This window comes from Homo sapiens, chromosome 1 (genome assembly GCF_000001405.40).
Source record: "Homo sapiens chromosome 1, GRCh38.p14 Primary Assembly".
NCBI classification, from domain to species: domain Eukaryota; kingdom Metazoa; phylum Chordata; class Mammalia; order Primates; family Hominidae; genus Homo; species Homo sapiens.
Genome location: NC_000001.11, coordinates 74370978 through 74394998, shown reverse-complemented (window position 1 = coordinate 74394998; position 24021 = coordinate 74370978). Strand labels below are relative to the sequence as shown.

General features: G+C 36.4%; 2 protein-coding genes across 3 annotated transcripts in view; both read right to left on the bottom strand.

Moving 5' to 3' along the window:
• FPGT-TNNI3K (FPGT-TNNI3K readthrough) overlaps positions 1 to 24021 on the bottom strand; it is a 346187-nt gene that overhangs the window by 149430 nt on the left and 172736 nt on the right. The window lies entirely within an intron of this gene.
• Positions 1 to 24021, bottom strand: part of TNNI3K (TNNI3 interacting kinase) — a 309042-nt gene that overhangs the window by 149430 nt on the left and 135591 nt on the right. The window lies entirely within an intron of this gene.

The window sequence follows — 24021 nt, the reverse complement described above, 5'->3', positions numbered from 1 at the left end:
GATCTCGGCTCACTGCAAGCTCCACCTCCCGGGTTCACGCTATTCTCCTGCCTCAGCCTCCCGAGTAGCTGGGACTACAGGTGCCCGCCACCATGCCTGGCTAATTGTTTGTATTTTTAGTAGAGACGGGGTTTCACCATGTTAGCCAGGATGGTCTGGATCTCCTGACCTCATGATCCACCCGCCTCAGCCTCCCAAAGTGCTGGGATTACAGGCGTGAGCCACTGCGCCCGGCCTAAGTGTTTTCTTTAGGGTTGTCCTGCTGCATTTTGTTGCAGCCCACAATACATTGCAATCCTATTTAGCTCAGAGGCTTTTCAAGTATTTGACTTACGACCTAAATAGCTGGGCAGGCTGAATAGAACAGACAAAAGTGAGCTATTTTGCAGGCTAGTAAACTTTCATCTTAGACTAAACTTCTTTGGTTTGGGTGAGGGCAGCTAAGGGGGGAAAGGGGGTTGCTGACAAGCAGGCATCAGCTATCCAGCAGGGGCCTAGTATATCCTGTTTCTTCTGTAGTTTGCTGACTTAAGCCTATTCAAGGCACTTTGTCTTGGAAATGGACCACTGTATACATTATTTCCTTCATATAGTAAATAAAATATAAAAATTATTTATAAGAGTTATTCACTTTAGGGAAGCATGGTTAAGCACGCTCTAAAAGAGACAGACTCTAAAAATTCAACAGCATTCCTTGAGGTCTTCCTAATTTTTAATACTAAAAGAGATTGCAACACCTAAAAGCTTTCTAACCACTGATTTGAAACATCTGGTGCAGTCCTGAATATGGAATAAATGCATATTAATTGATTTTGATCATAAGAGGAGGTTTTCCCATTAGCTTAAAGATAGCATTACCTTGAACCAGATAATATTGTTGATTTGCAACCATTTTGATCAATATTTGACCAAAGGCAGTTTCATACGGTTTACCCTAATACAAGTCCAATAAATCAATAGAGTTTCACTATTTTTATCCCATGGCTGTATGACAGGGGTCCCAACCTGTGGCCTGTTAGAAACTGGGCTGCACAGCAGGAGATGAGTGGCAAGCAGGTCAGTATTACCACCTGAGCTCCGCCTCCTGTCAGATCAGCAGGGTCATTAGATTCTCATAGGAGCACAAACCCTATTGTGAACTATGCATGCAAGGGATCTAGGTTGTGTGATCCTTATGAGCAAATCTCTAATGATCAATGATCTGAGGTGAAATAGTTTCATCCTGAAACTATTCCCCTCCTGGCCTTGCCTCCCCTCAGGGCCCCCATCCCCCACTTCCCCACCTTCTGTGGAAAAATTGTCTTCCACAAAACTGCTCCCTGGTGCCAAAAAGTTTGGGTACTGCTGCTGTATAATACTATTCCAAAAAAAGTCAAAATAGCAATTTTGTAAATATTTGTTACTTGATCCACCTTATTTTTTGTTCAAACTGGCTTGTGTGTTTAGACATAGCACAAGAGATAGAAATTGCCTGGAAAATTAATTTCTATTTCTAGTCCTTTTGTGGTCTGTTAAAGAAACAGTGATTTCAGGTGCTTGAACACAAGTAGCCCTTTCTCCACCCCATAAAGTAAGCTCACGTTCTTTTGATAGATGTTCCAGGCCCATATAAATTTTTCTTTCTCCTTTTTTTTAAATTATATGGTATGCTGATACAAAGAAAATGCTTGAGAATAATTTGTTTCTTAAGTTTTCAAATCCTTTCTATGCTCATTTTTTTTTGTCCAGAATGCTTTTCCATCCTATCTATATCCCTAACTAACTCAATATTCCTGTCCTTCTCCACTGCTTTAATGATCTGAGATAGCATATAGAATAAAATTGAAGAAAACTGCCCTGCAATTATGAGAATAAAATAAATATAAGCCAGTGCCCGCTGCCTTTCACCTATACCTTCACTCCTCTCAGCACACTGCTTTCTGCTAATCGTCACAATGACAGCCATGCTGATTATTTGCCACCTCTATGAGTACCACATGTTCTGTGTCTTCACAGTGCCTGGGGTGCTTTTAGAACACAGGAAAACAGCTATAAGTGGCTTGTGTTTAGGCAGAAAATGTTCCCAGAAACTCTAGATGCAAAAACAGTTATTTTGTATTCCTGAAGACACTTATGATACTGCCTGAACCTTAATTATGCTTCCCAACATTTGCAAAATTAAAACCTCAAATTAAACATCTCATTAATGTAGCTCCTTTGCAATTCATTCATTCGTTTCAAAAATGATAAAGGGGAAAAATTATGCATTTCGGGAGGTACTCGGTCACAATACCAACTCTCATTTATTGGAATGTCTCAGAAAATAAAAACTGCAAAGCCTGTTGTGGGAAGAGTGTGGAAAACAGGAAGTCAACCAAGTGAGTAAACATGAAATGGAGGATTATCCTTATTTGTGAGAAATCCATTCCAGCAAGAAATTGAATCAGGGGTTTCTGCATCTAAAGCAGTAGGGTTACTGATGGAACCTGGGAGAAATGACTTTATAGATGAGAAGTAGACTGGACTAAGGGCTATGGACAGCACGGTCTAGTGACTTGAGAACTAAACTAGGAGTCAGAGACGAGGAGTTAAATCCCAGTTCTGTTACCTGCTGAGTTTAAGTAATTTATTGTAATTCAGCAGGCTCATACTGAGCTCCTACCTCTGCCAGGCCCTAAGCCAAGTGCTAGGACTTTGTTCACACAATTAGATCCTTCTATTTTGCAACATCTACTTTTCCTCTGTACCAGATTATTCCCTTATCATGGACACCGGCTCTAGTAGCTCCCATCCTTCAAATCCCTCCCTGACCCACAGCCCTCTCCAGTTACAATCCAGTTACCACTTATGACAGACTTATTATAAGTGGAAAATATCCTAAGTGGACAGTGCATTTAATATCTTGATAAACTTATTGTGAAGTCAACTTGGGAGGCTGAGGCAGGAGAATGGCGTGAACCCGGGAGGCGGAGCTTGCAGTGAGCCAAGATCCTGCCACTGCACTCCAGCCTGGGCGACAGAGCGAGACTCCGTCTCAAAAAAAAAAAAAAAAAAAAAAAAAATAATAAGCTGTACCATCCTAAATCAAGGACCATCTGAATGTTTTGCTCATCTTATTTAAATTATCATGTACATTCAGCATAGTGATAACTTCTGACTAATTGAAAAATGCTCCCCTCTCAGCTCCCATAGCACCATTTGCTGCTGGCTTTCCTTTTTCCCTTTCTCAGGCCTTCTCAGTCTTCTCTGAGAGCACCCACTCCTCTGTCTTAGGTCCTCTTCTCTTCTCTTTTCTTTCTCCATAAATGATCTCATCTACTCCATAGCTTTAAAAGACATCCATTTGCTGAAACTCTCAAATGTATAATTTAAGTATTTGTCTCTTTCTGAGCTTAGATTTGCATTTCCAACTGCTTTCTGAAGGTCTCTTCTTAAATGTCTAACAGGCACCTCAAATTTAAAATGGCCACAAAAGACCTCTTGGTTTTTATTTCCCAAAAGCTACTTCCCAACTAACGTCTCAAAAATCTCACCTGTGTCTGCCTATTTCTTCTCTTCCCCTCATCTCCTATATGTATCTAGTACACTCTACCTAAACGAACAAACAAACAAAACCCACCAAATCCATTGCTTTCTCTCCATGTCCACTGTCACCATTCTATTCCAATCTATTTTCATCTGCCACTTGGAATGTCACCATAGATTCCCAACTGCTCTCTCAGCTTTCATTTTTGCCCTTTTCTCCCTAATACATTCAGAATATTCTAGTATTAATCTAATAAAATATAACCTCCATAAAGGCAGGATCTGTTTTGGCAACTGCAGTATCTCTAGTGTCCAAATATTTGTCGAATGAACAAATAAATAAAGCAGACCATGTTTCTCTCTTGCTTAAACATCTCAATGGTGTATTATCATATTCAAAGTAAGATTTCAGCTCAAAAATGGCCCACAGGACATACATGTTGTGGCTTTTGCTAAAGTTTTATTTTATTTTACTTTCTATCACTTTCATTATCCAGTGTGTTTCAGTCACACAGTTTTTTTTTTTTTTCGGAAAAAAATATATTTTTTTCATTCCTACCTAGAGATTTTTCACTTGCTGACTCATTATTTCTCTGGGATAACCTCCCACCCATATCTTTACCAGGATGGAGCTGCTTTGGATTATTCAGATCTCAGCTCAGATGTCACCCTCTCAGAGAAGGCTTTCATAACCAACAATCAAAATTAGTCTCTCTATTCCTAATAACTTACTCTCACATCTATACATTTTACAGCACTTACCATATCTAAAATATCCTTGCTTATTTATATTATTATCTGTCTCCTCCTGCCCTACCTCTCCTACCCACTTGTAATCTGTATGCTTCATGAAAGCAGAGACCTTTGCCATCTTACTTAATCCTATAACCTCAGTACTGAGCACAGTGCCTGGTAGATAGTAGGTGCACAATAAATCTTGGTAAAATAAAAAAGAAACGTTAAAATACAGTATTATCACTACTGCTCAAAGCACTGTGATGACCTCAATGAATATATCACTTCCAAAGAGTCATCTGAACCAGAAACATTTCAGAGTTAAATACTGACAATATTCACTCCTGTACCTTTTATAATTAGAGAATATAAGCCAATTTGCTGTTACACAATCAAAGCAGAGTACCTCAAAATAAAGTCCAGGAAATATGATTTTCTCTGTATGTTAATGGGTAAGTCTAATTAATTTTCAGGATCCCTAAAAGTGAGAGATAATACTCAATCTTACCCAGACTTCTTTCATCAGAGAGTCTTTTTCCATGGCATATCTCACTTGACCAGAATTCCAGAGTTTTCCTTTAGGAAAACACTGAATTAAAGAATCCAGTGATTATAGGAGCTATGAAGATGCTCTCTACATTTTTCTCAAACTCATTCTTCCCAGTTTTGGACTAATAATGAGACCTTTTATTTTTGCTCTGCCAGTGCTATTCATTGCCCACCACCTTTCAAATGCCTCTAATATCATTATCTTCTCCCAGTGTCCTAGATTTTTTAAGGTAACTGATACTTTTGACATCTTGTACTATCTAAAATTGTCCCTTTTCTCTTATCTCCATGATTACCCCTCTCTCCTTTTCCTAATGGCTCCTAATCCTGTATTAATGTTTTACCCCCACTGCTATTTCTAATTGAACTCTCTACATGAAGCAGTCATTTAATCCCACAGCTATAACCTTTTGTTTTCCTGAAATTTACATCTAGCCCTTTCCAACTTCTAAAGGGTCTAAATGAATGGTTAATCATTCAACAGTTTTTCAACACTTTCTATTTATTAGGCTCTATGCTTGGTGTAATGGTACTAAGGTTAGCAAAATGGTCCTGGTCCTTTATCTTGCCCAGCCTACATTCTAAGTGAGGTGGCAGAATTTAAAAAGTTCCAATAAAAGGAAATAAGTGTTAAGATAAGGAAGAAAACAAGTGTGATAGGAACACAGAAAGGCAGTACCTAACCTGGTCTAAGAGGAGAGGTGTATCAAACAAAGCTTCTAAAAGATACTAAGGTTCATGAAATTTCCAAATGCCCTCTACCATATTCTTCACAGTTTCCTATAAAGACGATTATTTAGCTGGCATTTCAAACAAAATGGTTGAAATCAGTTTCAACATCTTTATGTGCATCTTATTGTGTGCATCATTATCTACCCTGACAACAAGGCTGATTGACATCTTTCCATTTTTTCTTCTTCTCACCCTTACTTGGGATCAGTTACCAGATCCAGTCAATTTCACCTCTACCATAAATCTGTAATCTTTAGATTCCTTTGCTTTCCCATGGCTTCCGTCTCAGATCCAACACTCATTACTTCCAGCTTGTGCTATTTTAATTTCCTCCTGACCTATGGCAAATGCTCCTGTACTAAGCCACTCTCCATAACACTGCCAGAGAGTCTTGTATCTGTGGTCTGTTCCCTTGCAGTTAGCTGATACTGAGGTCGGGGCATGGTCTCTTCATCCAACAAAGTACTCTCAGTTGCATGAGTGCTTTGAGGATGGTTACATATTTGTGTTAGCTGCCTGTTGCAGGCAGCACATGAATGTCACAGATGGTGCACAAGAATTCCTAGCAAGAAGTTCCTGTACTGTGCTGGACTTCCCAGCTACTTATTGCCTAATTTGAAACCTGGAGGTGGGGAGACATTCCTGAGAGATGTTACTCTGGCAGTATGGAAGGTTAGTATGAGATTCTGTACCTGTAGTTTGATGGTATATTTTTCAAGCATCAAAAAATAAAAATAAATATAAAATACCAGGAAAATATTCAAATATGAGAACCGTTTTCCTTGTTATATTTTTCAGATAAGTCAGAAAGATAAATAAATATAAAGTTAAAAGTAGGATCATGTCAATTCTCAATTTTCAACCCACAAATTATTTCTGGTGACCTAATGTTTCCTTCCTACCTAATCAGATCTCAGGTGGCTGAGAAAAGACGAAGTCCGATGTTGTGGATGAGATGAGGAGAGGGAGACTGATTAGTTGTGGTTTGACTGTTAAAAGGTATATTTTTAATATTGACCTTGGACTATTACTTTCTTTGAATTGTCACTGCATCTGCATTTTCCTCCTCCTCCTTTTCCACTGTTTCTTGCTATTTCTCGAGATGATTAATGTAAACAAAGCATATTGTGGCCATCAAGAGGAAGAATATTTGTTGGGTAGGAGAGTGGGAAGACAGAAAAAAATTATTATTATTTTTTTTGTGACGGAATCTTGCTCTGCCACCCAGGCTGGAGTGCAGTGGTGCAATCTTGGCTCACTGCAACCTCTGCCACCCAGGTTCAAGCCATTCTTCTGCCTCAGCCTCCTGAGTAGCTGGGACTACAGGCACGCGCCACCACACCTGGCTACTCTTTGTGTTTCTAGTAGAGATGGGGTTTCGCCATATTGGCCAGGCTGGTCTCGAACTCCTGACCATGTGATCTATCCACCTCAGCTTCCCAAAGTGCTGGGATTATAGGCGTGAGCTGCCATGCCCGGCCTTAAGTGTTCTTTAAAGGTATTATTTGAAACTTACTTGTAACAAAGATATGAGAGTTGATACCTTAATAAACACACATTCAAACAAGTTATTTCTAGAACCATTTAAGATAAAGGGACCAAGAACTAACATTTATTGAATATCTACTATGTGCCAGACACTGCTAGCTATTTTAAAACACTATGAGGTAGATATTGTCCCTATTTTATAATGAAAAAATTGATGTTTAGAAATAACTTGTTAATCATTGCAGTGTTTTGAAGTGGCAGAGCTGGGATTACGCCTCGATACCGCCGACTTCAAAGTGCACAGTCTTTCTGCTATATTTTGGTTACAGGTTCTCTTTTATTTTTCCACTACTGTTAAAACTGCCATCTTGATTCCTAATCTCTGTATTGTTGACCAAAGCTCATGGTAAATTCCTTTATAAGAAATGATACCGAAAGCTTTTTTGGGCAAGCCAAGCCCAGCTTTTGAGACATGGGCTTCAATTTGGGAAGTCCCTATGGTTCTCTTTTTGAAACAAATCCTAGCTATGAAGCTTAATCTTCAAAGCAGGAATTTCTTGTGTATAAAGTTGTGTATTCTTGCTGATTATACAAACATTTGACCAAAATACGATTTTCATGGCACTTCACTAATCAAATGCTGAAAATATGAATTTTTAAATGTATTCGCTTGTTTCTTTTTTAATTGCTTTTTTTGGTTTCTTTGACCCAGAGTATATTCTTTGTTCTCACCATGGTAGGTTTTACATACCAGAAGATCACACTTTTCCTTAACATATTCTAAAGAATGTGAAGCACAATAGAAAACATGTATCATAAATTGTTTGTATTGTTCAATTGTTGAGACATTTGAACAAAGGTAAGCATAGGAAATTATACAATTACAGCTTTCTTTCAGCAAAAACTATCTGTTAAATGTATTTGCCAAATAATAAGAATGAATATAGATAATATATACTGTGTAGCCTGTCTATAGAAATTTTAACATTTACAAGTAAACAAATGGCTCTCTGAAATTCCCAAATCTCCCTTGTCTTGACAATGAGTACATATCCTTAATATACAGTTAAGGTTAGCAAAGTAAGTAAACTACTGTCCAAATGAGATCAATGTAAACTATATTTCTGTGAGTCATTTATAGTCATCAAGGGATGATTTAATTTATCACAAATACCTTCATCATGTTTATTTTGAAGTTTTAACTTTCACACTACCAATTTCTTTCTGTCAACTAATTTTAAATTGTCCAACCCAATTGTCTGAATTTGGGCTAAGCTGACCTTGGATCAGAGTACAAAAGAAAATATTTTTCACAGACCAGTTATTTGATATATAATTTTCACTTGTTGAGACTATGTAAAAGTGCCCCACAATTCTAATTTTGAAGAAGTCTGATTTTATATTTATTACACATGAATTATATTATTTATATGGCTTCCTTTCTTGAACTTGATTGTAAATTAATTAATTTATTGTATTTTTTCTGAGTTACTGTATCAAATTTCATTAGATCCCATAGATGCATTTTCTCATAAATGATATTTTATAAAAGGAAAAACTTATTCTAGCTGCACTCCCATGCTCCACATTTCAGTGTTGCATATCTAGTAACACATTACTCTGAATAAATGGAATGATTTTAGGGTATTTTTTTTTTTCTTTTCAGATGTTATATCTGCCAGTTTTCAATACTGAATAGGTCTGAAGTCTTCAATCTACCAGTTGTTTGATGATGTATTAGTTTGTTCTCACACTGCTAATAAAGACGTACACAATACTGGGTAATTTATAAAGGAAAGAGGTTTAATTGACTCACGGTTCCACATGGCTGGAGGCCTCACAATCATGGTGGAAGGCAAATGAGGAGCAAAGTCACATCTTATATGGTGGCAGGCAAGAGAATGTGTACAGTGGAACTCCCTTTTGTAAAGCCATCAGATCTTATGAAACTTATTCACTATCATGCGAACAGCATGGGAAAGACTAATCCCCATCATTCAATTACCTCCCACTGGGTCCCTCCCACGACACATGGGGATTATGGGAGCTATAATTCAAGATGAGATTTGAGTGGGAACACAACCAAGCCATATCAGATGATATATAAATACTCTAGGCCTTTCCTTTGCCATCCAATTTATGCACTTTCATATTTGGCTAAGGAGTAGTTTCTGTCATTGAATATCTTTTGCATCAGACCAGAACCTACAAGAATAGAAAGTAAGTGCACAGTCTCAAAGGCACTCTCTCATCTTCATTCCTGTCAGTGTTTATGGTGCTTGGACTGAACTCTTAACCTTTGCAGACAGCTATGTTGACCTCAGTGTGATACAGGTTTGTATTCATCAATGCCATCTTAGTAAACCTTTTTTTCTTCCATTTCAGTTATGTTGATTTTTCTCCTTTAGCTGGAATTGTTTTTGATATCCTTGATGAAATTATTTGGCAGATGATTATTTCTCCCTTTTAAGGTTTTGAAAAGGACAAATACCTTTGTTCATGATTGGAAAGGTGCCAATTCACATTACTTTACATACCTCTTTCTAAGATTTTCACATTTTTGTATTTACCACCCATGTTAGGCAGTTTACTTGTATCCACATGAGAAGGAAGAACTACATCTACTTAAAGACTACAATTTGATGAGTTTTAACAGTTATATACTCCTGTGAAACCACCATCTCAATCAATACAAAAAATATTTCTGTCACCCCAAAAAGATTCATGGTCCCTCTTGCAATCAATTCCTTTCTTATACCTCAGCCCTAGGAAAACACTAATCTTTTCAACTCTATTGATTAGTTTGCATTTTCTAAAATTATATACAAGTGGGATAATATGGTATGTACTATTTTACGTGTGCTTTCTTTCACAGGGCATAAGTGGAATGTAGGCAGAGAATGTTGACCATATTTGAACCCATAATTGAGATAATTCTGATCAATTAGGAGGAGTGAGGAGTAGCTGAGAAGTGAAAAGGATGGGTTAGATAAATTAAAATAAGTTTTACTAATATGAGTAGAAGGCACAATATATCGGTGCTGTTGAAACCATAAGGAATATTTAAAAATAACAAAAATCCTTATCAGAGACCAACTTCTGGGTCAGCTAAAAATTAAAAGTTTTCCATTAAGGCAACCAATAATCACTATATTTAAGAAGCTGAACATCAACATGAAAGAAAATTGTGAAATGATTAATTTAGACATAAAAATTTAACAAGTTCAGGAAACGTTGCCACTGTTTTTTTCAGGTTCACATGAATCTGATTTTAGTTCCCACATACTCTTTTCAGAGGAATATTTAAATAATTTGACTGTGACAAGCCAAACTGTTTTGAGACCTCATTGAAAGTCAAATGAAAACACTAATCAAATGCAAAAATATTCCAGTCAGGCATAGAAATGCTGCAGGTTAGAAAATAAAATGTTGCCTGTGAGAAGGAAAATCAATTGATTTAGAAAAAGCAAGTATTGGTTCAAATTTACATGGTCAGTAGTGGCTGGAAATCACTAAAATTTCAGGAGGTTGTATTTTTCTTCAAAAGCATCAGATAGTCTTGAGCTATAGCTACATTGCAAAACGAGTTTGTTTGACTAACTTTTCACCTAAGTAAAACAGAAAATCAGATCAGTCAAACAACTGATTGTCTTTCCCTTTCTCATTGTTTTTTATAGGCAGGCTTTAGTGACTAGCATGCAAATAATTATCTACAGCACAAAATAGCCAGAGAAGTGACTTGTGGAATAGCGTGTTAATTGAGCAAAAGAATGACTTTCACACTCTTAAATGCCACAGAATTGTTCAATATTAAGTGAGAACTACCTTCTCATTTCAGCTATGAATTCTAGAAAGTACAGCTCCTATGGTAAGGTGATCTGAAAAATACATTGCATTGCTATTCAGTCAGTGCTGCTCCTGTTTTGTGGGGCCAAATGACTATACATCCCTATATTTTGGATTATCTGACTACTGTTCCTGTTTTGTGGGGCTAAATGACTATACATTCCTATATTTTGGATTACCTAACTATCTAGTGTGTGTAATAACCTTAGTCTGTCACTTACCAGCTTTATCACCTTGATGATTTGCTAAGTCTCTTTTTAGCCTTTTTCTGTCATTATGTATTCAAAACTGTCATCATATAGAGCTACGAAGATTTAATTAGATGATCTCTGTAAAGCATTGAGTTCAATACCTGGCATAAAGAACATTAATATATGTTATCCTTATGTTTCTTGATTATTATTAATTCATTCATCTGACAAATATTAATTGAATTTTTATTAGGCCCCAGTCATTGTACAAAGCACTGAGAATAAAATGGTGAAAAATCCACAGCTCCTGTACCAATTAAGCTTAGTGTGTAGTGGGAACACTCTCAAGTTCATGAGCAATTTTAATAGCATGAGAAGAGCTCTCCTGAAATAAGCAAGAGTCTGATGTGCTGTGGGAACGTGTAGGAGGGCTTCCTGCAAGAAGCATTTGGGATAGACAGGAGTTAGAAGGAAAGTTTTATGGAGAAAGTGTGAGGAGGGGCACAGAGAAGAGAGAGGTAAGGCAGGGGCGAATGTTTGTGTCTGAGGGAATAGCATGTATTAAGAGCTATAATAAATGAAGCTTTTCAGATGAAGGCTATAGAGGCAGTTCCACCAAGAAAGCCAGAAAACAAAATAAGAACAAAAAAACTATTTTTTTTCCTCTCTAGCACTTACAGTGCTGAAGAACAAGCTGGGCAAGTAACAGCTCTTTAGCCTCACTCATATTTAGGAAGCAAAAAAGAAGAAACTTTGTCAAACCCACAGAAAATTAATAAAAGTTCAATGCTAAATGTCTGCCTGCAAGGCCACCCATATCTCAACAGAAGAAGACTCAGAATGTCTTTCACATTCTTTGTATGAAAAGAAAAAAAAAAAGAAATTAAAGAAAGAGAAAGAATTCGAAGCCTGTAATCAATCCTTTCCTTTAAAAAACCCAGCAATTCAGGAGGTCTGCCAGAGGCTGTCTTTCAGAGACCATGGACAGGAAAAAGCTTATTAAAATGTGCTCCATTCCCAAAGAAAGAGGTCACTCAAGATCCCCAGACCCTTAACTCTGAATAGATTTAATGAAAGCCAACTCTATTTTAAGAATTTAGAAGGGGGATTTCCCTCCCAAAAGAAAAGAAGGCAGACATCATCAACGCTCTAACACTATTTCATCTATGGCACCAGGCATGCTTTTCACTAACTTTCTGTAGGTTGCTAAAACCATTAAATGAGGGTTTAGTGACTGAGAATACAGTTCTTCACATACAAGGGTTGAAACATAATTGATACAAAGACCATCCATCCAGGATTAAAGAGTTCTAATCATTCTGTGAAGCTTGCATGCTCTTTCCTCCATGCTGGCCAAAGAAACACTGCATCTTTCAGAAAGGGACTATGCTGTTTCCCACATCATTTAGTAACAACAAAACCTTTCACCTTCAGTTAGAGAAAGATAATCTAGACTATTCTGCAAATAGTACTGATGCAGCAGCTGGATACAAAATGAATCTTAGTCCAAGACTTTCTGGTAACCCTGCTTTATGTAATTAATATACATTGTATACAAATATCTCTTGCAGAATCTTTCTCTAAAATCCTCCATTGACTGTTGTCCTGGTACCCTTATTAATCACAAGGGTATTTCTGTGAAAAGGTAGACATGGACATCATTATTTCCATTTTGTAAATCAGAAATCTGAAGCAGAAAAACGTCAAGTGACATAACAGCAACACAGTAAGAACATGAATAGAAATGACAAAAACGATTGAGAATTGTCTCTTGGGAATCAAAAAGGTGTGATAGGATGAATTCTTCCTTTTCTTTCACTACTGAAGGAAGGATAAGGGACAACTTTCTCAATGCTAATTTTGAAAACATCCTCCCTGGTTGTTTATGGTCGGAAGGACAACTGCTGAGTTGAGTCGCTGAGTGCTACTTGAGTATGGAGAAGAAAAGGTGCCTAACCACATAGGTGCTATACACATCCTCTGCAAAAATAGAGCCTCTCTTACTTGGATTTTTTAGTCTCTGGAATGTGCCTCTGATGATACTTCCCCTTCTCTGCCATTATGTTTCCAAATAAATAATGGTTGAATGTCTAAGTGGATGGTGTTTAAATTGCACCTTTAAGTTTTGTGAAGGAGCCCTAGGAAGAAGAATCACTGAGAAGGATCTTGGATAATCAAATAACCTTGCTAACCCTCAGCTACATTTTTAATCAAATTCTATTCCAGATCTGCTTCTGTCTAATGGGAGTATCAGACTGAATCCCTGATTCAAGTTCGAACCAAGAAGGAGTGAGAGGTCTTAATGAAGGCAGTAATCTGTTATTTGAATCCCCTTGACCTTCTCTATAGAAAGAGATCTACAGTAAAACAATCCAATTATTTCCCAGATCTTTAGGGCAAGAAGAAATTATCCATCTGAGATATTATAAGCAAAGTTTGTGTAATACAATAAAAAAGGAGAGCTAGATCATTAGAAACATTTAATTCAGGAGGGCAACTAGGGCATGCAAGAAAATTTAATAGTGAAAAGATTCTTTCGAAAGAATAAAGAAGAAAAATAATGCTAATAATGCTAATGTATTTTCTCATTTAAATCCAATAAGGTAGGCATTTAAATATAACCGTCTTGGAAATTAGAAAACTGATATGTTAAATAAATTGACCAAGGACACAGGTAAAATGTGGCAGAGCTGGGATGTGAACATGCTTAGTCTGGCTTCAGAGCCCATGCCGTCAATTAGTTCTCCTGTGGTCTTCCAATAGGGTGATAGCCCACATCAACACATATCCCCAGAGGCATCCATGCTGTAGTCCCAGCCAGAGAAGATTAACATTATTTAGAAACTTTCTTCCAAATAGGGAGGATTTTGAAATAGAAAATATTAAATGAGACTTTAAAAAGGTTTATAATTATCTGTATCTCTTTTTCAAGGCCAAATTCAAAGTATAGCTAGCTCTTGGAAATTCAATTAGAAACAAATTTCCACTTATTAAGATTGTTTCTCATTTATTAGCTAGAAATTTTGTTTCTGGGTCCCTAGTCAGTTTGCACTCAATTAAACTCCAGAATCTTAAGAACACAACAACACAAATCAATCTCAGCAAGCAAGGGTTGAAAACGATCAAGTGAGAAATGCACAGATTACCACACGGCAGCATTAATATCATTATTGAAAGGTTAGCTGCTTAGGAAATCGACAAGGTGCCAAGAGGGCATTCACAGTGCCTCCCAAGAAATGAGAGCAGAGAAGAAACGAAGCCAAACAGAGAAAAGCTTTTGTTGACATTTTCAAAAGCCAACTTTATTCAGGCCATATCCCCAAAGAATAGAAAATGGCAATGTAAGAAACCAGTAACACCAGAAAATTGCAGGCCAGTGAGTTCACCACCAGTTACAGGAAAGCATTTGAAAGGTTTTAGAGGATCAGGAGGGGCGTCGCTTCTCCCTTCCACGCTCAGTCTGTGGGTGCGGGAAGGTGACATTGTTACAGGGAAGGTACAGTTACCACGCTAGCTTTGAGCATTCGCACCGTGTGAGTGTTGTATTAAGGAAAGAGGCTGCAGAGTGAACCACTTCAACCACAAGAACGCACTGGAATAAGAAATCCTGTTGCCAGGTTCCAGTGTGGAGTAGCACTATTTTTATAGCAAATAAAAAGTAAATGTTGGTATCGCAGGATTTCTAGTTTTGGTCAAATTAGTACCTTTCTGTGCTGTTATACAGATACATTTATTTGCACACACACATCGTCTTGTGTAGCATTTCAAATGGCATACAGAAGATGTGAGATTGGGGAATTTGTCTGTCTGGGCTGAATGAGGCAAAGATTCTGATGGGAGCTACTGTAAGAGATGGTAAATTTGTCCAGGTTTATGCAAGCAATATGATAGTGTGGGGAAAACGAATGACTTTTTCTGACTTAAATATACCTGTTTTCATTTAAAGGGAGTGTGTCTAAGGGAATTTACTTAATGGGGTGTTAAGTAAGAGCACTATTTTTAGAATTGGTGAATGCAGCCAAAATTAAATGAGACCTAATGAAGGCAGATGAGAGAAGAACAACATTTTAACTGGCCCTGGGAGGAAACTTTAGCTATTTCTGTAGGGAGACAAAAAGAGGACAACTCAGGACTAAAGGACATTCTAGTAGTGAAGTATAGGGGGGAGAATATTAACCAAAGTGAAATGTCATGAGAATGTTTGGGACACAGTTGGCCCTCTGGAAACTATGAGCATTAGTCGAGGAGGCAGGGATGAATCTACCCTCAGAGAAAAACCAGGAAGAGTTGGATAGTGAATCTCTGTGGAAATAATGGGTAGAAACTTGAGTCAGAGAGAACTCACTGTTTCTTCTGGAGGTTCAGGTTGCTGAGGACAGACAGACAGACTGACTTCATAATATGGAAACTGAGCATGTCAGAAATGGGGATAGAAATTATGACTGGACACCAACAACTGAGTGCAGCTCATAAATAGGATTAGAGTAATTTGTAGAACTAAGTGGTTAAGGAGCCCCTTCTGTTGGGTGTGGTACAAGGTTCTCTAAATACAGTGGCCATAGTCTTTTTATTTTAATGTTTACTCCTGAAGAAAAAAAAGTGTGTGTGTGTGTGTGTGCGCGCGTGTATGTGTGTTTACTGACATATAGTGCATGAGATTATGACAATGTTTTAAAATGTATATAGCCTATTTCATACTATTATATTTATATAGTTATATGTTTTTCCTCTTGAGCCATATTTCAATTCAGGGACATAGTCATAATGAGGTTTTTCTTCTTGGACCACATTTTGATTCATAGACATATGTTGCCACACTCCCAAAGCTATTCTCATGCTTTTAAATTAACAAAAGTGAATGAGAAGAGTTATTTCAAAATTAATTCATATATAGCATGCTTTATTAAGTAGTTTTCATTCATTTCCCAATTACTGCTATTAGTTCATAAATTGTGAAAATACATTAATAAACTAAAAATATTTAGTATGCAACTAACATTATATTTGTATAACTGATTCATGCAAATCCAGATCAGCCTTCTTAATTATAACCATTACTCAGACACCTATTACCTGTTATCACCAGTATACATAGGGTCAATGTAGCACAGACTTCTGGCTGACCACTAAAACTCATTTCCTCTTCTTCTAGGCACACAGCTAGACTACATTTCCCAGGACCTCATATGGTGCCACCAAGACAGAGCTGACTGTATCACCCAATGCCAAGCCCTCAGCGTCACTGTCAAGTCACATTGGTCATTATGAATTGTGTAAATGCCCTTGGGGATTAGCTGAGGTGATGAAATGAAATATATATATATATATATATATATATATATATATATATATATATATAAAATTAAACTGACAACAACAACAAAATGTGTGCCATGCTAATGCCTGGCCCATACAACATGTCATGTACATCTTATATATTCTTGCCTCATTAGTGCTCACTTGAATTTGGTTGACCCCCTAGAAGTCACACGTTGAAGATGGGTCCTGAGTAACATCATGGATAGGGACCGCCTCAACAACTTGTTCATCCACACAATCAAGATGCAAATTTCAATTGTATTGGAACCATTATACGTTATGGACTCTATCGTTACAGCAGATAAACTACCCTAACTAATCTGAATTTCATATTGTAAATATTAATAAATTATATAGCTTAGTTTTTTCATTACTCAAAGCAGTAATAAAATTGAATCTGATTGCAGTTGATTGCTTTTTTAAGAAAAATTTTAACTTGAAAATCTGAAATCAGATTACAATTTTGGACATAAACATTTCAGAACTACAGGTAGCCCTAATCCCTAAGGCATCCATTGTATATTATGAATTAACTTTTCTTCTATGTACTCCAAATGATAGTGATTATTTCTCATGCTGAGGAGATTTGAAAATCATCCCTGAACTCACCCTCTGTAGAGCTGACTTCTTTCTTCTAGTTTTAAAAGGCTGGAAGCATTACGAAAACATATGGAAATGTGTCTGTTTATATGGGCATTTATATATAAATATGTATACTTATATGTGCATTGATATAATAGTGAATTAAAAAGACAGAGATCCACAAACCCATGGTACCCATGGCACAGAATAGGTCCAAAGATCTAGCAGTTTCCATGGGAGTTGTGTTATCTGTGCTAGGCTCCTTGGGAGCAAATTACTTAGAATTCGTGGGTGATATCAGAAAGTTCCCAGGAGTGTAGAATCTACACAGATAGCCGAAACAGAAATAAAAGTTTTAATATCAGACAACTGCAGTGCACACTGCAGTTCATGTGGGTATTCAAGGCTATAAACCCTAGACTAATATAGAATATGTACACATATATATGAATCCTTCTCTTTATATGTGTATCTATTTATTACATATAATTCTGTATTATATGGATATATAGTACTTACATAAACCATGTGCAATATAATTGTCTGGTATTGAAACTTTTGTATCTGTTTTGGCTACTTGTGAAGATTCTACACTCTAGGGAATTTTCTAGTGTCATTCATAAATTAGAAGTTATTTTCTCTGGAGGAGCCTTGTATGGTACAACTCCCATGGAAACTGCCAAATCTTGGGACCTATTCTGTGCCATAGGTACCATGGGTGTGTGGATCTCTGTCTTTGACATTCATTACTGAGTAAGTCGATACACAAATGTACGAATGAATGAATAATTAGACTGACTTTAGGGTGATTACTTTGAAAACATTTGGAGTTACGTTGTGACTTGATTCCCTAATATTCCCACTTTACTCTGGCAGCAGAGAAGAATGAAGTTATACGGCAAATGATCAAGAGGAATAATTGACATCAGACTAAAATGTGATTCTCAACCTTGCCTAGATATTGGAATAACTTGAAGTGCTCTCTCTCCAAATATGATACGTAGGCCCCAAGACTGGAGATTCTGATGTAATCAGCATCAGGATTTTCTTAAAGTTCTCTTAGATACTGTGCAGCCAAACTGAGAACCACTGCACTAGAACAATGTTTCCTCTCCTAGGTCATAAGAATTAATTGGTAGTCTTGTTTAAAAGTGTAGATTCTCAGGCCCAACGTAAGACATGCTGAATCAGTCAGTCCCTTCAGTGTCTTTGAATCTTTTATTTTTTTTTTTAATGAAGGCCCCCAAATGATTCTTCAGGAAAGTTTGTAAATGCTTCCTTAGGCTCTATGCTCTGCTGGAAAAAGTGTTATGATCTGTCCTTCTCACCTGTACCCCTACGGCATAGCATAGACCCTAGATCATATCATGTATTCAATAAGTATTTGATATTATTTAATTAATTGACATTTTTCAAGTGCAAATGAGTAAAAATAATTGATAAAATTTAAAATGCTACTTGTGATGACTGGTTTTATACTAGAGAATCACAGATACAGGGTTGTCAAGGATTTCATAAGAGTTTTAATGGGTTCTCTTGCAGGACTTTTATAAGTATGGTAATATAATCAGTTAATTGGTCTGCATATAGGTCTTCAGAAGTCTCCTGAAGATGATATTTGCCAATGGATGCAGAATTCTTTCTGTTTAAGCACTTATTAGAAAAGTCACAAGTTAAAGAAATAGCTGGGAGAGGGACTCTATAATACATGGAATTTGAGGAACACAAATTAGAAAATTAACAATTTGTTTATTTTACTTAATTGTTGTGTTTTTTTTACATGCAGGAATTTTATATTTTGCATTCAACTGAGAGGCAAATGCATATATCAAATTAAAAGCAACTATTATAATTTTCTATCAATAATATTTTTCTTTGGCAGTTCCTAAAATCTTCACTATTTGAGTTAAATGTCATCTTCAAAATTAAGATTTTTTTAGCTCATAACAGCTCTGTCTTTTTAAATTACCTGTCATTTGTCATTGGAAAGTTGGCTATTTTAAAATTATCACTCATTATTTTCCTTTATACCCACTAGAATAAGCTGACAGTCAAAAACGGTGAGTCCTTCTCAGATCTAGACCCCAAACTAATTAGTTATATCATATAAAAAAAACCTCTGTATGTATGAGAATATCGTTGTGACCCTTCAGTGGGTTCTCCTTGCCCGGTGCCTAGATAGATTTGATTTATCAAGACGGGAATTGCAATAGAGAAAAGTTTAATTCACGCACAGCCAGCTGTACAGGAGAGAAGAGTGTTATTATTACTCAAATCAGTCTTCTCAAAAACTTGAGGATGGGGGTTTTAAGGAAAACTTGGTGGGTAGGGGTCTGAAAGTGGGGACTGCTGATTGGTTGGGTTGGAGATGATATCATAGGGTGTCAAAGTTGTCCTCTTGATGCTGAGTCAGTCTCCTGGGGCCAGGAGACCAGATGACCCAGTTTATCAGTCTGGGTGGTAGCAGCTGAGCCATCCTGTACAGCATCTGCAAAATATCTCAAGCACTGATCTTAGGTTTTGCAATAGTGATTTATCCCCAGAAGCAATCTGGGGAGGTTTCTAATCTTTCAGTCTCCAGCTATGTGATTCCTAAACCATTATTTCTAATCTTGTGGCTAATTTGTTAGTCCTATGAAGGTAGTGTAGTCCCCAGGCAGGAAAGAGGTTTGTTTTGTGAAAGGGCTATTATTGTCTTAGTTTCAAGTTCCTCCCAAAGTTATTTTGGCCTATGTCCATGAATGAACAAGAACAGCTTGCAGGTTAGAAGCAAAGTGGAGTCAAGTCAGATCTTTCAGTCATAATTTTCTCAGTTGTAGTTTTTGCAAAGGTGGTTTTAATTGTGGAGTGTTTTTCCATCCCCAATATTAAAGGGAACAAATGAGGAATTAAGAGTAATAAAAAATGCATTTTGTATGGTGCTTCACAGTTTATAAAATGATTTCATATACATATTTCATGTGAATGCCATGTGCACTTTGTGATGGAGGTTATCACTATTTAATTCCTTACAGTGTTAATATAACATATAATACTATATCTTTATAGAAGGAGAATATCATGTATTTGATCCATGTATGTTTGCAGTGATGTTTCTGCTTCAGTGTCAAACAATTTGAAAAATATACTTTTCCAAGAAAAACACACAGCTTCTAGTATTAAGTAAAAAGTTTAAATCCTTTAAGCTATAAATAATGACTAGCAAACTCCAATGCCACAAAATGAATGTATAAATTAGACCAAATATAAGTTGGTAGGTGGTGAGGTCTACAGCAAATTAGAGAGGTACATTCCTGCTTGAATTATGAACATTTTCAAAATATTTAAACACTATGGGCCAAACAAAACCTATCTGCATGCTTTCTATGCAACATCTGTTCCACACCAGCAGAACATGGAGTGTGAAAGAAGAAATAAAGCAGGAACACAGAAGCATAAGATGATATGAGAAATTGTTTGGGTCACAGGAATTGACTTTTTAAAAGATTAAAGTACAGAGAGTAAGGCTGATAAATATTGCTGATGCCCATTCAATATCATCAGTACGCTCCTTCTATCTCTCTCTTCTCACATGGTTTTGCTGTTGTTGTTGTTACAGTAGAAGATACAGAATACTACAGACTTAGTCTCTTTAGTCAGTTTCCTTATCTGTAAAATGGAAATAATAACAACTATCCCATAGAGTTGCGTGGTTAAATGAAAGCATGAAAAACTTAGCAAAGCTCCTTTCATATGGTGATAAATAAATGGTAGGTATTATCATTATCATCATTTACATTGAAAATAACTACTTTCTTACTCCTTCCTTGAACTTTTCCTTAGTATATATAGTTGGCCCTCTAAATCCATAGGTTTCACTTCTGTGGATTCAACTAACCATGGATCAAAAAATTTTTTTAAAGATTGTGTCTGTACTGAAGATGTATAGACTCTTTTTCCTTTGTCATTATTCCCTAGACAATATAGTGCAAAAACTATTTACAGAGCATTTACATTGTACTAGATATTATAGGTACTCTTTCAATGATTTAAAGTACAGGAGAGGATGTGCATAGGAAATATGCAAATGCTACAGCAATTAATACCAGGGACTTGAGCATTCTCAGACTTTGGTATCCATGAGAGGTCCTGGAACCAATCCCCTGCAGATGCCAAGGGACATTTACTGAAGATCAAAATTAACTTTCAGAACTGGATGGTACAAACCCTCAGCTGGCTTTGCTTGCCATGGGAAAAGTAGAGTTCTTTTTTTTCACTCAAACAATTGCAACAACCACAAACTCAAATATAAAAGTGCCCCATCCCGTGGGCTCAAACATCCTTTTCCCTTTAAAATTATAAAAGTTATTGGGCAAGTTGGATGCTATACACAAGTAGTCATACTTATACCAATTAGGTCATTGCTTCGTGAAATGACACTCATAGAAATCCACAATAATTTGGTTCAGTTAAAAAATATTAATTAGACATCTTCTCTGTGTAAGACACAATGCTTAGTTCAGAAAATGTGAGATGAAGAGAGCAGTCTCTGCCCCTGAAACCCTGACTTGCCCAGGCTAATGGGGAATATAAAAATATAAACACACCATGTCAATACAAATGCAAATAAGTGTATGAGTTTCCCAGTCTCTGATGTGCATCTTTCTCTCTACTTCTTTGAGTGAGACTTTCTAGGTACCATGCTAAAGCAGAGGTTAGTATGCTGTGAAAAGCCTGAGAAAAGATTAATGCCTGTTCTTCAAACTCTACGTTTAGCTCCACATAGGCTAAGAAGCATTCTACTCAACTTTCATCTTTGACTTACTTGAAATCCTCTGAAAGTTGCTCTTTCATCATTTTGACCCTTAATTATTTTCTATATAAAGTGGAACTCTAGTTGCTTTCTGGGCATATGTCTTATTTGCCAAGTAGTGCAGTAAGCTCTCTGAGGGAAAGGACCCAGGCTCTTTTGAGCCATGTAGAATGCTACATATGCATGCATCTGAAAAACAATGTTTTGCTGTTGCTACCAGATTAAAGATTGATAGAAAATAGTCTACAAATAATTGATACAATAGTTTGGGACTCTGTCATAATGAAGGCACCTACAAAATGGTGTTTCATAAGATTTAAAAACTTTTTGATGCAATTAAGCATTTAGGTTAGATTAGAGGCAGCAAAAATTGTAGATATAAACTTATATCAGCTATATAGTAAATGTTCTGTTTTTATTTTAATCAACATTTATATTTTTGGTCCTGCCTGACAACTGGTGGTAACAACTTGCACATAACTCAGGGCAACAGAATATATAATGGCCCCACAAATGAAGAGTTACAGCTAGAGAAAACTTGCAATGATTACTTATTGCAATGATTACTCATTTGTTTTAATACCATGTGCAAAAATGTTTGGGATGGAAAGATAATACTCTTAAAACTCAAAATCATCGGTTTATATTATGCTAATTTATCATCTAAATCTGTGTCTGAAATAGTTAAATGTTTGTTAACGTAAATGTTTGGTTTGAAATTAAGAAAGGTAAAGAACTAATAGCTAAAAATTAAGAAATGACTTTTATGTGAAAACTAGTAAATAATTATAAATAGATTGAGACTTATTTACATTTACTTTCAATATTTAAGATTCTACCACTCACGTATCTGATTTATCTCTCCTATCTTTCATATCTATCTGAGAAGAGAAAAATAGCTGAGGGCAGTCTGAGCTGTATGAGCAACACAAAATTTATCAGGCCCAGAGAGACATGAGCATGGGACTTTAGTCATCTCTCCAATCTCCATTTCCCTGGGGCAATAGTGTAAAGGTATTTTGTTCCTGACTAGCTGTGTTACCCATTATCTTTATGTTCCTATAATTTTTGATTAAAGAACAAGGTACAACCAATCAATAGTTTATATTATTTATGTAAATTCTTTGTAAACAACTTAAAAACTGCTTTTTTTTTTTTTTTTTTTTTTCTTAAAAACTATCTTGTAACCACTGCTAATTGGAGTATGTATTCAGGACAACTTGAGTCCATGCTCATGGGTAATGATCCTCAAGCTTTGAGCTTGAATAAACTCTGTATTTTGTTATTTAAAGTTGACATGTCTCTTCCTTTCATATCCACTGCCACCGGTGAAATTCTGCTTTTCGTTACTTCTTATCTAGATTACTGCAACAACTCCCTCACTAGTTTCTTGACTTTCCCTTCAAGTTGATATTTTACCAGATGCTGGATTCATCTTTCAATAATATAGCTCCAAATTTGTGATTTTCAGCTCAAACCTCTTTATGGTCTCCTTACAGGAAAAAAAATCTGAAATACCTTAGTAATAGCATTCACTGGTGTCTGTGCTCTTTTTCTATTTTTCTATACCTTTTTCCAGTTGTCCACTTCTTACATTATACACATTACATACATTTATACACTTTGTATACTAAAATGAAACTATAGTTCCTATATATACCTTTAACTTTCTAATCTCTATGCATTTTATTATGTCTTCCCTAAGCCTATAGGATGCTCTTCCAAACTACCCATCTTTCAGGACCAAGCTCATATGTCATCCCTTCCATAGAGTTGTTGTTAGAATCCTCAGAAGCAATTAATATTCTTGTTCCTGAAATTTTTGTACTAAATCTTGTATATAACTTATTATTTTATACCTCAAATACATTTAGGTAAATATTTTTCTCCTCTACATAGAGTGTGAAAACTCCCTGAATGTAGTCTATGAACGTCCCACTTTGTAAGCTCTACTGTGCTGAAAATAGTCTTTAAACATATATGTTCAAACATAGTTGTTGACCAAATGACTGACTAGAGTAATCAATATTTACTAGCTTCAGAACTGTAAAGCTTCTATAAAGGACTATATACACAATCTATTTGAATCTTATTGACTATCATAAAATGAAAGTGATTGATGTGGAATAATCTGACTTGCTTCATAAACTAAATCAGTGTTTGTCCAACTATTCTCTACAGCACCTTTGGGCTTCCACAGAGGTGGTGCAGGAATCTCTCTCCTTAGCAGTGGGAAATGGGAAGTAAATAGAGTTTTCTCCTCCCCACTTTACCTTCACCCAA